The 17,020-nt window shown below is 41.3% G+C and overlaps 2 annotated features.

Annotated features, from left to right (window-relative positions):
- Positions 3,081-3,713: an enhancer, noted in NCBI's record as "OCT4-NANOG hESC enhancer chr12:20915672-20916304 (GRCh37/hg19 assembly coordinates)". NCBI's record gives its function as "activates a minimal SCP1, AML or CMV promoter by ChIP-STARR-seq in naive and primed H9 embryonic stem cells {active_cell/tissue: H9 hESC(naive and primed)}" and the evidence as "EXISTENCE:reporter gene assay evidence [ECO:0000049][PMID:30033119]".
- Positions 8,816-9,440: an enhancer, noted in NCBI's record as "OCT4-NANOG hESC enhancer chr12:20921407-20922031 (GRCh37/hg19 assembly coordinates)". NCBI's record gives its function as "activates a minimal SCP1, AML or CMV promoter by ChIP-STARR-seq in naive and primed H9 embryonic stem cells {active_cell/tissue: H9 hESC(naive and primed)}" and the evidence as "EXISTENCE:reporter gene assay evidence [ECO:0000049][PMID:30033119]".

Raw genomic sequence — 17,020 nt, forward strand, 5'->3', positions numbered from 1 at the left:
TTACCCACGATGCCAAGATTTTTTGCTAATATAATCAAGAATTTAAGAACAAAATTATTAATAAATTAATTCTACTTCATATGTTTTCTATTGGCTGTATAAACAAATCTACAAAGAATATTTTATGCATTTACCTTTTTTTCCTCTCTTCATTTATTTCTTTAAAATGGATTCCTGGAGACAATGTTTCAAACATATTAACCAATAGCATTCAAGAAAGGAAAGGTAATAGAGTGTAACACAAACAGCATTTAAAATATTAGCTTCTCCTAAACTTTCACCAAGTTATTGATTTATAAGTTAAAAATAGCATTTCAATGTTTTACTTTTAATGTATTTGCATAAAAATACATGAAATTGTGTATTTTCACAAATACACGATTTGTGAATAGTGAGTTTGAACTTTTATTAGTGCACTGGTCAAATCCACTTTTTTAATAAATAAGTTCACAGTCTCTTAAAATATTTTTCTCTGGGTATTTATCTAATCAATGATATTAGCCTTTGACAGGTCCCATGTTTTCTAATTATGTTTTTTAATTTGAAGTCTTAATTTAAAATTTTATTTTATGTAATTTTGACTCACAGTTTTTAAAAATGTTTATATAATTTTATATCTCCTTTCTCAACAGATTTTATACTTGCATGTGTGCTTAAAATTGTTTTCTTACCTTAAGATGGATAATTACCTACATTTATCTACACTTTATGATATAATTTCTAAAATTAAGATGTTTAATACACATGGATTTATTTCGACGTTCTATTTTGAAATAAGGAAACATTATTTGGATGATGGTTGGCCACTTGTTCCAGTTCTGATTATTGAAAAATCCCTGTTTTATATGTTTAAGAACTCTACTATATTATGAGTGTTTGGAGACTTACGAATCTCATTAATATGCCTATTTCTGACCATTATTATACCATGTAAGAATTACATATGTATATTATAAAAATACATTTTAATTGCTGGCAGCGCATATCCTCCTTTGAATGATTCAAAGTTTCTTAAATATGTTCATTCATATTTATTTCTTCTGGATGCATTCAAGATTTTTTTTCAGTTTCTAATAGTACCAAGGTTGGGCATGGTTGCTCATGTCTGTAATTCTAACATTTCGTGAGGCTGAGGTGGGAGGATCAATCACTTAAGGCCAGAAGTTCGAGGTTACAGTGAGCTATAATCATGCCACTGCACTCTAGACTGGGCCTCAGAGCAGGACACTGTCTCTTTTTTAAAAAGTTTCTGGCCTGGCGCAGTGGCTGACGCCTGTAATCCCAGCACTTTGGGAGACCGAGGAGGGCAGATCACGAGGTCAAGAGATTGAGACCATCCTGGCCAACATGGTGAAACCCCGTCTCTACTAAAAATACAAAAATTAGCTGGGCGTGGTGCCTGTAGTCCCAGCTGGTTGGGTGGCTGAGGCAGGAGAATCACTTCAACCGGGAGGCGGAGGCTGCAGTGAGCCAAGATTGTGCCACTGCACTCCAGCCTGGTGACAGAGCAAGACTCCATCTCAAAAAAGAAAAGAAAAGAAAAAGGCAGAAAAAATATTCCAGGGAAGCAGAAACCAAAGACATGCAGTAGTAGCTATATTTATATAAGACAAAAAGACTTTAAGCAAAAAGAAATTAAAATAAAAATATAAAAAGAAACAAAAATGGCCATTATTTTAGATAAAGGGCTCAATTCAGCAAGAGAATATACCAGTCATAAATATATATGCCCCCAACACTAGAACACCCAGATATATAAATATTATTACAGCTAAAAAGAGAGACAGACCTCGATGCAGTAATAGTTGGACACTTCAATAACCCACTTTAAGCGATTAGATAGCTCAGCTAGACAGAAATTTGACTAGGAAACATCAGGCTTGATCTGCACTACCGACCAAATGAACCTAACAGACATTTAAAGAACATTATTTCCAACAGCTGCTGAATACACATTATTCTCATTAGCATATGAAACATTCTCCAGGATAGACTATATGTTAGGCCATCAAACAAGTTTCAACACACTTTTAAAAAACAAAATCTCATCAAGTACGTTCTCAGGACATAATGAACTAAAAGTGTAAATTAATAACAAGAGGAAGTTTAGAAATGGTACAAACACAAGTAAATTAAGAAACATGCTCCTTACGGATCATTAGGTCGGTGAAGAAACTAAGAAGAAAATGTAAAAAAAATTGAAAGAAAAATGAAAACACAACATACAAAAATCTATGAGATATAGCAAAAGCAGTGCAAAGAGAGGTCAACTTATAGCAATTAATAAATAAAAAACAATTTTTTCACACTGTTATAAAGAAATAAAAGGAATTCTCACAGTATTTCAAAAAACATTGATGAGGGAATTCCTACTAAGTCATTCTATAAGGCTTGCATTACTCACATTCGAAAACCACACAGGAGCACAAAAAACAACAAAAACAAACTACACGAAAACTATCCCTGATGAACATAGACAAGTCTTTAACAAAATATTTGTACACTGAATTCAAAAACTCATCAAAAAGGTAACACACCATAATCATGTGGGATTTGTCCCAGAGATGCAAGGATGATTCAACATATGCAAATCAATGATTGTGATACATCACATCAACAGAATAAAAAACGAAAACTATATGATCATCTCAATAGATGCAGAAAAGTACTTAATAATATTAAACATCCCTCTCATGATAAAACCGCAACAAATTAGGAACTGAAGGAACACATTTCAGCATAATAAAAGCCATATATGACATCTCCAGAGCTAACATCATACAGAATGGAGAGAAGCAGAAAGCTTTTCCTCTAAGTACTGGAAGATTAGAATGTCTAATTTCGTCACTCTCATTCAATATAGTAATGACTGGAAGTCCTAGCCAGAGCAGTTAGGAAATAAAATAAAAGACACGAGAGCATGTGTTTCAACACAGAGCTCAGCCGGCTACCTCTCCCAGCTGCTAGAAAACACTTTGTGGAAACACATATTTGGTGAAAAATCACATTTCACTAAAGACAGTTCGAATTCTGAAGACAATTTTCTTTGCTATGGCTGAAAACCACACTTTCCCAAACCAAATTACAGTGAAGAACACAGCATAGGCACAGAAGAAAATGTGTAAGAACCTGGAGTCCAGAGGAGCCAAGATGGCCGAATAGGAACAGCTCCGGTCTACAGCTCCCAACGTGAGCAACGCAGAAGATGGGTGATTTCTGCATTTCCATCTGAGGTACCAAGTTCATCTCACTGTCAGGCCTCTGAGCCCAAGCCAAGCCATCGCGTCCCCTGTGACTTGCATGTATACGCCCAGATGGCCTGAAGTAACTGTAGAATCACAAAAGAAGTTAATATGCCCTGCCCCACCTTAACTGATGACATTCCACCACAAAAGAAGTGTAAATGGCTGGTCCTTGCCTTAAGTGATGACATTACCTTGTGAAAGTCCTTTTCATGGCTCATCCTGGCTCAAAAACACCCCCACTGAGCACCTTGCGACCCCCACTCCTGCCCGCCAGAGAACAAACCACCTTTGACTATAATTTTCCTTTACCTACCCAAATCCTATAAAATGGCCCCACCCTTATCTCCCTTCACTGACTCTCTTTTCAGACTCAGCCCACCTGCACCCAGGTGGAATAAACAGCTTTATTGCTCACACAAAGCCTGTTTGGTGGTCTCTTCACATGGACACACATGAAATTTGGTGCCGTGACTCGGATCGGGGGACCTCCCTTGGGAGATCAATCCCCCGTCCTCCTGCTCTTTGCTCCATGAGAAAGATCCACCTACGACCTCAGGTCCTTAGACCGACCAGCCCAAGAAACATCTCACCAATTTCAAATCCAGTAAGCGGCCTCTTTTGACTCTCTTCTCCAACCTCCCACACTATCCCTCAGCCTCTTTCTCCTTTCAATCTTGGTGCCACACTTCAATCTCTCCCTTCTCTTAATTTCAATTCCTTTCATTTTCTGGTAGAGACAAAGGAGACATGTTTTATCCGTGGACCCAAAACTCTGGCGCCGGTCATGGACTGGGAAGTCAGCCTTCCCTTGGTGTTTAATCATTGCAGGGGTGCCTCTCTGATTATTCACCCACGTTTCAAAGGTGTCAGACCACACAGGGATGCCTGCCTTGGTCCTTCACCCTTAGCAGAAAGTCCCGCTTTTCTGGGGAAGGGGCAAGTACCCCAACCCCTTCTCTCCTTGTCTCTACCCCTTCTCTGCTTTTCTGGGAGAGGGGCAAGTACCCCTCAACCCGTTCTCCTTCACTCTTAGTGGCAAGTCCCACTTTTCTGGGAGAGGAGCAAGTACCCCTCAACCCCTTCTCCTTCACCCTTAGTGGCAAGTCCCACTTTTCTAGAGGGCAAGAACCCCCAATCCCTTATTTTCATGCCCCAACCTCTTATCTCTGTACCCCAATCCCTTATTTCCATGCCCCAACCTCTTATCTCTGCACCCCAATCCCTTATTTCCGTGCCCCAACCTCTTATCTCTGCGCTCCAATCCCTTATTTCCGTGCCCCAACCTCTTATCTCTGCGCTCCAATCCCTTATTTCCGTGCCCCAATCTCTTATCTCTGTGCTCCAATCCCTTATTTCCGTGCCCCAACCTCTTATCTCTGCACCCCAATCCCTTATTTCCATGCCCCAACCTCTTATCTCTGCGCTCCAATCCCTTATTTCTGTGCCCCAACCTCTTATCTCTGTGCTCCAATCCATTATTTCTGTGCCGAACCTCTTATCTCTGCACCCCAATCCCTTATTTCCGTGCCCCAACCTCTTATCTCTGCACCCCAATCCCTTATTTCCACACCACAACTTCTTATCTCTGCACCCCAATCCCTTATTTCCACACCCCAACCTCTTATCTCTGTGCCCCAATCCCTTATTTCTGTGCCCCAACCCTTTCTCTGCTTTTCTGGAGGGCAAGAAACCCCCACCCCTTCTCCATGTCTCTACTCTTTTCTCTGGGCTTGCCTCCTTCACTATGGGCAAGCTTCCACCTTCCATTCCTCCTTCTTCTCCCTTAGCCTGTATTCTTAAGAACTTAAGACCTCTTCAACTCTCACCTGACCTAAAATCTAAGCGTCTTTTTTCTTCTGCAATGCCGCTTGAACCCAATACAAACTTGACAGTAGTTCCAAATAGCCAGAAAAATGGCAGTTTCAATTTTTCCATCCTACAAGACCTAAATAATTCTTGTCATAAAATGGGCAAATGGTCTGAGGTGCCTGATGTCCAGGCATTCTTTTACACATCAGTCCCTTCCTAGTCTCTGCCCAATGCAATTCATCCCAAATCTTCCTTCTTTCCCTCCCGCCTGTCCCCTCAGGCCCAACCCCAAGCGTCGCTAAGTCTTTCTAATCTTCCTTTTCTACAGACCCATCTGACCTCTCCCCTCCTTGCCAGGCTGAGCTAAGTCCCAATTCTTCCTCAGCCTCTGCTCCTCCACCCTATAATCCTTTTATCACCTCCCCTCCTCACACCTGGTCTGGCTTACAGCTTTGTTCCCTGACTAGCCCTCCCCCACCTGCCCAGCAATTTACTCTTAAAAAGGTGGCTGGAGCCAAAGGCATAGTCAAGGTTAATGCTCCTTTTTCTTTATCCCAAATCAGAAGCGTTTAGGCTGTTTTTCATCAAATATAAAAACCCAGCCCAGTTCATGGCTCATTCGGCAGCAACCCTGAGATGCTTTACAGCCCTAGACCCTAAAAGGTCAAAAGGCCATCTTATTCTCAATATACATTTTATTACCCAATCTGCTCCCGACATTAAATAAAACTCCAAAAATCGGAATCTAGCCCTCAAACCCCATAACAGGACTTAATTAACCTCACTTTCAAGGTGTACAATAATAAAACAAAGTTGCAATTCCTTGCCTCCACTGTGAGACAAACCCCAGCCACATCTCTAGCACACAAGAATTTCCAAACGCCTGAACCGCAGCGGCCAGGCATTCCTCCAGAACCTCCTCCCCCAGGAGCTTGCTACAAGTGCCAAAAATCTGGCCACTGAGCCAAGGAATGCCCGCAGCCTGGGATTCCTCCTAAGCCATGTCCCATCTGTGTGGGACCCCAGTGGAAATCGGACTGTTCAACTCACCTGGCAGCCACTCCCAGAGCCCCTGGAATTCTGGCCCAAGGCTGTCTGACTGACTCCTTCTTGGCTTAGCGGCTAAAGACTGACACTGCCCAATCACCTGGGAAGCTCCTAAACCATCACGGATGCTGAGCTTCGGGTAACTCTCACAGTGGAAAGTAAGCCCGTCCCCTTCTTAATCAATACGGAGGCTACTCACTCCACATTACCTTCTTTTCAAGGGCCTGTTTCCTTTGCCTCCATAACTGTTGTAGGTATTGATGGCCAGGCTTCTGAACCCCTGAAAACCCCCCTACTCTGGTGCCAACTTGGAAAACACTCTTTTGTGCACTCTTTTTTAGTTATCCACACCTGCCCAGTTCCCTTATTAGGCCGAGATATTTTAACCAAATTATCTGCTTCCCTGACTATTCCTGGACTACAGCTGCATCTCATTGCTGCCCTTCTCCCCAACCCAAAGCCTCCTGTGTATCTTCCTCTCCTATTCCCCCACCTTAACCCACAAGTATGGGACATCTCCACTCCTTCCCTGGCAACCGATCACATGCCTGTTACCATCCCATTAAAACCTAATCACCCTCACCCCACTCAACGCCAATATCCCATCCCACAGCACGCTTTAAAAGGATTAAAGCCTATTATCGCTCGCCTGCTACAGCATGGGCTTCTAAAACCTATAACTCTCCTTACAATTCCCCCATTTTTCCTGCCCAAAAACTGGACAAGTCTTACAGATTAGTTCAGGATCTGCGCCTTATCAACCAAATTGTTTTGCCTATGCACCCCATGGTGCCAAACCCATACACTCTCCTATCCTCAATACGTGCCTCTACAACCCATTATTCTGTTCTAGATCTCAAACATGCTTTCTTTACTGTTCCTTTGCACCCTTCATCCCAGCCTCTCTTCGCTTTCACTTGGACTGACCCTGACACCCATCAAGCTCAGCAAATTACCTAGGCTGTACAGCCGCAAAGCTTCACAGACAGCCCCCATTACTTCAATCAAGCCCAAATTTCTTCCTCATCTGTTACCTATCTCGGCATAATTCTCATAAAAACACATGTGCTCTCCCTGCCAATCATGTCCGACTGATCTCTCAAATCCCAGCACCTTCTACAAAACAACTCCTTTCCTTCCTAGGCATGGTTAGCATGGTCAGAATTCTTACACAAGGGCCAGGACCACACCCTGTAGCCTTTCTGTCCAAACAACTTGACCTTACTGTTTTAGCCTAGCCCTCATGTCTGCGTGCAGCGACTGCCACTGCTTTAATACTTCTAGAGGCCCTCAAAATCACAAACTATGCTCAACTCACTCTCTACAGTTCTCATAACTTCCAAAATCTATTTTCTTCCTCATACATGATGCATATACTTTCTGCTCCCCGGCTCCTTCAGCTGTACTCACTGTTTCTTAATTCTCCACAATTACCATTGTTCCTGCCCCGGACTTCAATCCGGCCTCCACATTATTCCAGATACCACATCTGTCCCCCATGACTGCACCTCTCTGATCCACCTGACATTCACCCCATTTCCCCACATTTCCTTCTTCCCTGTTCCTCACCCTGATCACACTTAGTTTATTGATGGCAGTTCCACCAGGCCTAATCACCACACACCAGCAAAGGCAGGCTATGCTATAGTACAAGCCACTAGCCTGCCTCTTAGAATCTCTCATTTCCTTTCCAGCATGGAAATCTATCCTCAAAGAAATAATTTCTCAGTGTTCCATCTGCTATTCTACTACTACTCATGGATTATTCAGGCCCCCTCCCTTCCCTACACATCAAGCTCAAGGATTTGCCCCAACCCAGGACTGGCAAATTAGCTTTACTCAGCATGCCGCAAGTAAGATAACTACAATAACTCTTAGTCTAGGTAGATACTTTCACTGGATAAGTAGAGTCCTTTCCTATAGGGTCTGAGAAGGCCACTGCAGTCATTTCTTCCCTTCTGTCAGACATAATTCCTCAGTTTAGCCTTCCCACCTCTATACAGTCTGATAACGGACCAACCGTTATTAGTCAAATCAGCCAAGCATTTTTTCAGGCTCTTAGTATTCAGTGACAGACTAATAGTCTATTAAAAACACACCTCACCCAGCTCAGCCACCAACTTAAGAAGGACTGGACAATACTTTTACCACTTTTGCTTCTCAGAATTCAGGCCTGTCCTCGGAATGCAACAAGATAACAGCCCATTTAAGCTCCTGTATAGATGCTCCTTTTTATTAGGCCCCAGTCTCATTACAGACACCAGACCAACTTAGACTGTGCCCCCAAAAAACTGGTCATCCCTACTATCTTCTGTCTAGTCATACTCCTATTCACCGTTCTCAACTACTCATACATGCCCTGCTCGTGTTTACTCTGTTTCTCCAAGCCATCACAGCTGATATCTCCTGGTACTGTCCCCAAACTGCCACTCTTAACACTTAAAGTAAATAAATAATCTTTGCTGGCAAGGCTATGCTGAACCTCCTTAGGCACTCTCTAATTAGATGTCCCAGGTCCTCCCAATTCTTAGTCCTTTAATACCTGTTTTTCTCCTTCTCTTATTCCATTTAGTTTTTCAATTAATACAAAACTGTATCCAGGCCATCACCAATAATTCTAAATGACAAATGTTTCTTTTAACAACCCCACAATATCACCCCTTACCACAAAATCTTCCTTCAGCTTAATCGCTCCCACTTTAGGTTCCCACGCCACCCCTAATCCCGCTGGAAGCAGCCCTGAGAAACATCGCCCATTATCTCTCCACACTATCCCCCAAAAATTTTCGATGCCCCAACACTTCAACACTATTTTGTTTTATTTTTCTTATGAATATAAGAAGGCAGGAATGTCAGGCCTCTCAGCACAAGCCAAGCCATCACATCCCCTGTGACTTGCATGAATATGCCCAGATGGCCTGAAGTAACTGAAGAATCACAAAAGAAGTGAATATGCCCTGCCCCACCTTAACTGATGACATTCCACCACAAAAGAAGTGTAAATGGCCAGTCCTTGCCTTAAGTGATGACATTACCTTGTGAAAGTCCTTTTCGTGGCTCATCCTGGCTCAAAAACACCCCCACTGAGCACCTTGTGACCCCCACTCCTGCCCGCCAGAGAACCAACCCCCTTTGACTGTAATTTTCCTTTACCTACTGAAATCCTATAAAATGGCCCCACCCTTATCTCCCTTCACTGACTCTCTTTTCGGACTCAGCCCACCTGCACCCAGGTGAAATAAACAGCTTTATTGCTCACACAAAGCCTGTTTGGTGGTCTCTTCACACGGACGCAAGTGAAACTCACAAGGAAGTGCCAGACAGTGGGCGCAGGTCAGTGGGTGCAGCATACTGTGCACCAGCCAAAGCAGGGCGAGGCATTGCCTCACTCGGGAAGCACAAGGGGTCAGGGAGTTCCCTTTCCTAGTCAAAGAAAGGGGTGACAGATGGCACCTGGAAAATCGGGTCACTCCCACCCGAATACTGTGCTTTTCTGACCGGCTTAAAAAATGGCACACCAGGAGATTATATCCAGCACATGGCTAGGAGGGTCCTACAGCCACAGAGTCTCGCTGATTGCTAGCACAGCAGTCTGAGATCAAACTGCAAGGCAGCAGCGAGGCTGGGGGGGGGGGCGCCCGCCATTGCCCAGGCTTGCTTAGGTAAGCAAAGCAGCCGGGAAGCTCCAACTGGGTGGAGCCCACCACAGCTCAAGGAGGCCTACTTGCCTCTGTAGGCTCCACCTCTGGGGGCAGGGCACAGACAAATAAAAAGACAGCGGTAACCTCTGCAGACTTAAATGTCCCTGTCTGACAGCTTTGAAGAGAGCAGTGGTTCTCCCAGCACGCAGCTGGAGATCTGAGAAAGGGCGGACTGCCTCCTCAAGAGGGTCCCTGACCCCTGACCCCCGAGCAGCCTAACTGGGAGGCACCCCCCAGTAGGGGCAGACTGACACTTCACAGCCGGGTACTCCTCTGAGAAAAAACTTCCAGAGGAATGATCAGACAGCAGCATTCGCGGTTCACGAAAAACCCCTGTTCTGCAGACACCGCTGCTGATAACCAGACAAACAGGGTCCGGAGTGAACTTCTAGCAAACTCCAACAGACCTGCAGCTGAGGGTCCTGTCTGTTAGAAGGAAAACTAACAAACAGAAAGGACATCCACACCAAAAACCCATCTGTACATCACCATCATCAAAGACCAAAAGTAGATAAAACCACAAAGATGGGGAAAAAACAGAGCAGAAAAACTGGAAACTCTAAAAAGCAGAGTGCCAATCCTCCTCCAAAGGAATGCAGTTCCTCACCAGCAATGGAACAAAGCTGGACGGAGAATGACTTTGATGAGTTGAGAGAAGAAGGCTTCAGATGATCAAACTACTCTGAGCTACAGGAGGAAATTCAAACCAAAGGCAGAGAAGTTGAAAACTTTGAAAAAAATTTAGACGAATGTATAACTAGAATAACCAATACAGAGAAGTGCTTAAAGGAGCTGATGGAGCTGAAAGCCAAGGCTCTAGAACTACCTGAAGAATGCAGAAGCCTCAGGAGGCGATGCAATCAACTGGAAGAAAGGGTTATCACTGATGGAAGATGAAACAAATGAAATGAAGTGAGAAGGGAAGTTTAGAGAAAAAAGAATAAAAAGAAATGAACAAAGCCTCCAAGAAATATGGGACTATGTGAAAAGATCAAATCTACATCTGATGGGTGTACCTGAAAGTGACGGGGAGAAGGGAACCAAGTCGGAAAACATTCTGCAGGATATTATCCAGGAGAACTTCCCCAACCTAGCAAGGCAGGCCAACATTCAGATTCAGGAAATACAGAGAACGCCACAAAGGTACTCCTTGAGAAGAGCAACTCCAAGACACATAATTGTCAGATTCACCGAAGTTGAAATGAAGGAAAAAATGTTAAGGACAGCCAGAGAGAAAGGTTGGGTTACCCACAAAGGGAAGCCCATCAGACTAACAGCAGATCTCTCAGCAGAAACTATATAAGCCAGAAGAGAGTGGGGGCCAATATTCAACATTCTTAAAGAAAAGAATTTTCAACCCAGAATTTCATATCCAGCCAAACTAAGCTTCATAAGTGAAGGAGAAATAAAATACTTTACAGACAAACAAATGCTGAGAGATTTTGTCAACACCAGGCCTGCCCTAAAAGAACTCCTGAAGGAAGCACAAAACATGGAAAGGAACAACCGGTACCAGCCACTGAAAAATCATGCCAAAATGTAAAGACCATTGAGAGCAGGAAGAAACTGAATCAACTAATGAGCAAAATAACCAGCTAACATCATAATGACAGGATCAAATTCACACATAACAATATTAATGTTAAATGGAAATGGACTAAATGCTCCAATTAAAAGACACAGACTGGCAAATTGGATAAAGAGTCAAGACCCATCAGTGTGCTGTATTCAGGAAACCCATCTCATGTGCAGAGACACACATAGGCTCAAAATAAAGGGATGGAGGAAGATCTACCAAGCAAATGGAAAACAAAAAAAAGGCAGGGGTTGCAATCCTACTCTCTGATAAAACAGACTTTAAACCAACAAAGATCAAAAGAGACAAAGAAGGGCATCACATAATGGTAAAGGGATCAATTCAACAAGAAGAGCTAACTATCCTAAATATATATGCACCCAATATAGGAGCACCCAGATTCATAAAGCAAGTCCTGAGTGACCTACAAAGAGACTTAGACTCCCACACATTAATAATGGGAGACTTTAACACCCCACTGTCAACATTAGACAGATCAACGAGACAGAAAGTCAACAAGGATACCCAGGAATTGAACTCAGCTCTGCACCAAGTGAACCTAATAGACATCTACAGAACTCTCCACCCCAAATCAATAGAATATACATTTTTTTCAGCACTACACCACACCTATTCCAAAATTGACCACATACTTGGAAGTAAAGCTCTCCTCAGCAAATGTAAAAGATCAGAAATTATAACAAACTGTCTCTCAGACCACAGTGCAATCAAAATAGAACTCAGGATTAAGAAACACACTCAAAACAACTCAACTACATAGACACTGAACAACCTACTCCTGAATGACTACTGGGTACAAAACGAAATGAAGGCAGAAATAAAGATGTTCTTTGAAACCAAGGAGAACAAAGACACAACATACCAGAATCTCTGGGACACATTCAAAGCAGTGTGTAGAGGGAAATTTATAGCACTAAATGCCCACAGGAGAAAGCAGGAAAGATCCAGAATTGACACCCTAACGTCACAATTAAAAGAACTAGAAAAGCAAGAGGAAACACATTCAAAAGCTGGCAGAAGGCAAGAAATAACTAAAATCAGAGCAGAACTGAAGGAAATAGAGACACAAAAAACCCTTCAAAAATTAATGAATCCAGGAACTGGTTTTTTGAAAGCATCAACAAAATTGATAGACTGCTAGCAAGACTAATAAAGAAGAAAAGAGAGAAGAATCAAATAGACACAATAAAAAATGATAAAGGGGATATCACCACTGATCCCACAGAAATACAAACTACCATCAGAGAATGCTACAAACACCTCTATGCAAATAAACTAGAAAATCTAGAAGAAATGGATAAATTCCTCAACACATACACTCTCCCAAGACTAAACCAGGAAGAAGCTGAATCTCTGAATAGACCAATAACAGGATCTGAAATTGAGGCAATAATCAATAGCTTAGCAACAAAAAAGAGTCCAGGACCAGATGGATTCACAGAATTCTACCAGAGGTACAAGGAGGAACTGGTACCATTCCTTCTGAAACTATTCCAATCAATAGAAAAACAGGGAATCCTCCCTAACTCATTTTATGAGGCCAGCATCATCCTGATACCAAAGCCAGGCAGAGACACAACCAAAAAAGAGAATTTTAGACCAATATCCTTGATGAACATTGATGCAAAAATCCTCAATAAAATACTGGCAAAGTGCATCCAGCAGCACATCAAAAAGCTCATCCACCATGATCAAGTGGGCTTCATCCCTGGGATGCAAGGCTGGTTCAATATACGCAAATCAATAAATGTAATCCAGCATATAAACAGAGCCAAAGACAAAAACCACACGATTATCTCAATAGATGCAGAAAAGGCCTTTGACAAAATTCAACAACCTTCATGCTAAAAACTCTCAATAAATTAGGTATTGATGGGACGTATCTCAAAATAATAAGAGCTATCTATGACCAACCCACAGCCAATATTATACTGAATGGGCAAAAACTGGAAGCATTCCCTTTGAAAACAGGCACAAGACAGGGATGCCCTCTCTCACCACTCCTATTCAACATAGTGTTGGAAGTTCTGGCCAGGGCAATTAGGCAGGATTAGGGAATAAAGGGTATTCAATTAGGAAAAGAGGAAGTCAAATTGTCCCTGTTTGCAGATGACATGATTGTATATCTAGAAAACCCCATTGTCTCAGCCTAAAATCTCCTTAAGCTGATAAGCAACTTCAGCAAAGTCTCGGGATACAAAATCAATGTACAAAATTCACAAGCATTCTTATACACCAATAACAGACAAACAGGGAGCCAAATCACGAGTGAACTCCCATTCACAATTGCTTCAAAGAGAATAAAATACCTAGGAATCCAAATTACAAGGGATATGAAGGACCTCTTCAAGGAAAACTACAAACCACTGCTCAATGAAATAAAAGAGGATACAAACAAATGGAAGAACATTCCATGCTCATGGGTAGGAAGAATCAATATCATGAAAATGGCCATACTGCCCAAGGTAATTTATAGATTCAATGCCATCCCCATCAAGCTACCAATGACTTTCTTCACAGAATTGGAAAAAACTACTTTAAAGTTCATATGGAACCAAAAAAGAGCCCACATCGCCAAGTCAATCCTAAGCCAAAAGAACAAAGCTGGAGGCATCACACTACCTGACTTCAAACTATACTACAAGGCTACAGTAACCAAAACAGCATGGTACTGGTACCAAAACAGAGATATAGATCAATGGAACAGAACAGAGCCCTCAGAAATAACGCCGCATATCTACAACTGTCTGATCTTTGACAAATCTGAGAAAAACAAGCAATGGGAAAAGGATTCCCTATTTAATAAATGGTGCTGGGAAAACTGGCTAGCCATATGTAGAAAGCTGAAACTGGATCCCTTCCTGACACCTTATACAAAAATCAATTCAAGATGGATTAAAGACTTAAACGTTAAACCTAAAGCCATAAAAACCCTAGAAGAAAACCTAGGCATTACCATTCAGGACATAGGCATGGGCAAGGACTTCATGTCTAAAACACCAAAAGCAATGGCAACGAAAGCCAAAATTGACAAATGGGATCTAATTAAACTAAAGAGCTTCTGCACAGCAAAAGAAACTACCATCAGAGTGAACAGGCAACCTACAAAATGGGAGAAAATTTTCGCAACCTACTCATCTGACAAAGGGCTAATATCCAGAATCTACAATGGACTCAAACAAATTTACAAGAAAAAAACAACCCCATCAAAAAGTGGGCGAAGGACATGAACAGACACTTCTCAAAAGAAGACATTTATGCAGCCAAAAAACACATGAAAAAATGCTCACTATCACTGACCATCAGAGAAATGCAAATCAAAACCACAATGAGATACCATGTCACACCAGTTAGAATGGCAATCATTATAAAGTCAGGAAACGACAGGTGCTGGAGAGGATGTGGAAAAATAGGAACACTTTTACACTGTTGTTGGGACTGTAAACTAGTTCAACCATTGTGGAAGTCAGTGTGGCGATTCCTCAGGGATCTAGAACTAGAAATACCATTTGAGCCAGCCATCCCATTACTGGGTACATACCCAAAGGACTATAAATCATGCTGCTATAAAGACACATGCAGATGTATGTTTATTGTGGTACTATTCACAATAGCAAAGAATTGGAACCAACCCAAATGTCCAACAATGATAGACTGGATTAAGAAAATGTGGCACATATAAACCATGGAATACTATGCAGCCATAAAAAATGATGAGTTAATGTCCTTTGTAGGGACATGGATGAAATTGGAAATCATCATTCTCAGTAAACTATCACAAGAACAAAAAACCAAACACCACATATTCTCACTCATAGGTGGGAATTGAACAATGAGAACACATGGACCCAGGAAGGGGAACATCACACTCTGGGGACTGTTGTGGGGTGGGGGCAGGGGGAAGGGATAGCACTGGGAGATATACCTAATGCTAGATGACGAGTTAGTGGGTGCAGCGCACCAGCATGTCACATGTATACATTTGTAACTAACCTGCACATTGTGCACATGTACCCTAAAACTTAAAGTATAATAATAATAAAAAAAATAAAAGACATTAAAATTAAAAAAGAGGAAGTCAAATGATCACTCTTTGCAGATGGCACAATTTTATATATAGAAAACCTTAAAGACTCCTCAAAAAACTCTTATAACTGATAAAACAAATTTACTAAAGTTCCTAGGTATAAAATCGACATGCAAAAGTCAGTAGGATTTGCATATGCCAGCAATAAACTAGCTGGAAAATAAATTAAGACAACAACTACATTTACAATTGCTAAAACAACAAGAAAAAAAGATAACTACCCTAGAAATAAATGTAACCATGGAGGTAAAGACCTCTTCAAAGAAAACCACAAAAGAAATGAAGAGGACACAAATGGAAATACATCCCAAGGCTTAATACTGTTACTATGACATTACTATCCAATTCAATCTACAGATCCAATGTAATCCCTAAATAACATTCTTCAGAGAGATAGATAGAGAAAAAATTCTAAAATTCCTGTGGCACTGCTAAAGGCACCACAAAACCAAAGCAATCTTGAGTGAAAAGAACAGAGCTGAGGCACCACACTACTTGACTTCAAATTATAATACAAAGCTATAGTAGTCAAAACAGGATGGTATTATTATAAAAAACAGACACATAGGCCAATGGAACAGAATAGAGAATCTAGAAATAAACCCACATAGTTACAGCCAACTGATTTTTGACAAAGGTGCCAAGAACATACACTGTGGATATGGCACCCTTCAATAAATGGTAATGGTGAAATAATGGTGAAACTGGATGTCCCATACACAGAAGAATAAAACTAGACCCAATTTTCTTACCATATACAAAAATCAACACAAAATGTATTAAAGACTTAAATATAAGACCCAAAGCTATAAAACATCTTCAAGGAAATGTAGAGGAAATGCTTCAGGATATTGCTCTAGGCAAGGATTTTATTGCTAAAACTTCAAAAACACAAAACAACAAAAGGAAAGACAGACAAGTGGCACAAACTAGACTATATTAAACAAAAAATATTCTCTACAGCAAAAGAAACAATCAACAGAGTGAAGAAAAAAATCTTTAGAATGGAAAAAATATTTGCAAACAAGGGACTAATATCCAGAATATAGAAGAAATTCAAACAACTCAACAGTTAAAAAAACAACAAAAAACAACCATCTACCTTCTCTACCTCCATGAGTTCAACTTTTCTAGCTCCCATATGAGTGAAAACATGCAATCTTTGTCTTTCTGGCCTGGCTTATCTCACTGACCATAAAGACCTTTAATTCCATTCATGTCGCTGCAAATGGAAGATTTTTATTCTTTTTATGACTGAATGATACTCTATTGTGTACATACACATTTTCTTTACCCACTCATTTGTTAATGGACACTTAGGTTGATTCCATATCTTTGTTATTGTCAATTTAGTGCTGCAATAAAAATGGGGTACAGGTATACTTTCGATATAATTACTCCTTAAAGTTGTGTATAGATGTCACAAAATAGAAGGTAAAAACTTAAAAAAAAAATACTGTGTCTGGAATTGGTGGGTTCTTGGTCTCACTGACTTCAAGAATGAAGCCGCAGACCTTCGCAGTGAGTCTTACAG

The sequence above is a fragment of the Homo sapiens genome, chromosome 12 (assembly GCF_000001405.40).
Source record: "Homo sapiens chromosome 12, GRCh38.p14 Primary Assembly".
Lineage (NCBI taxonomy): Eukaryota > Metazoa > Chordata > Mammalia > Primates > Hominidae > Homo > Homo sapiens.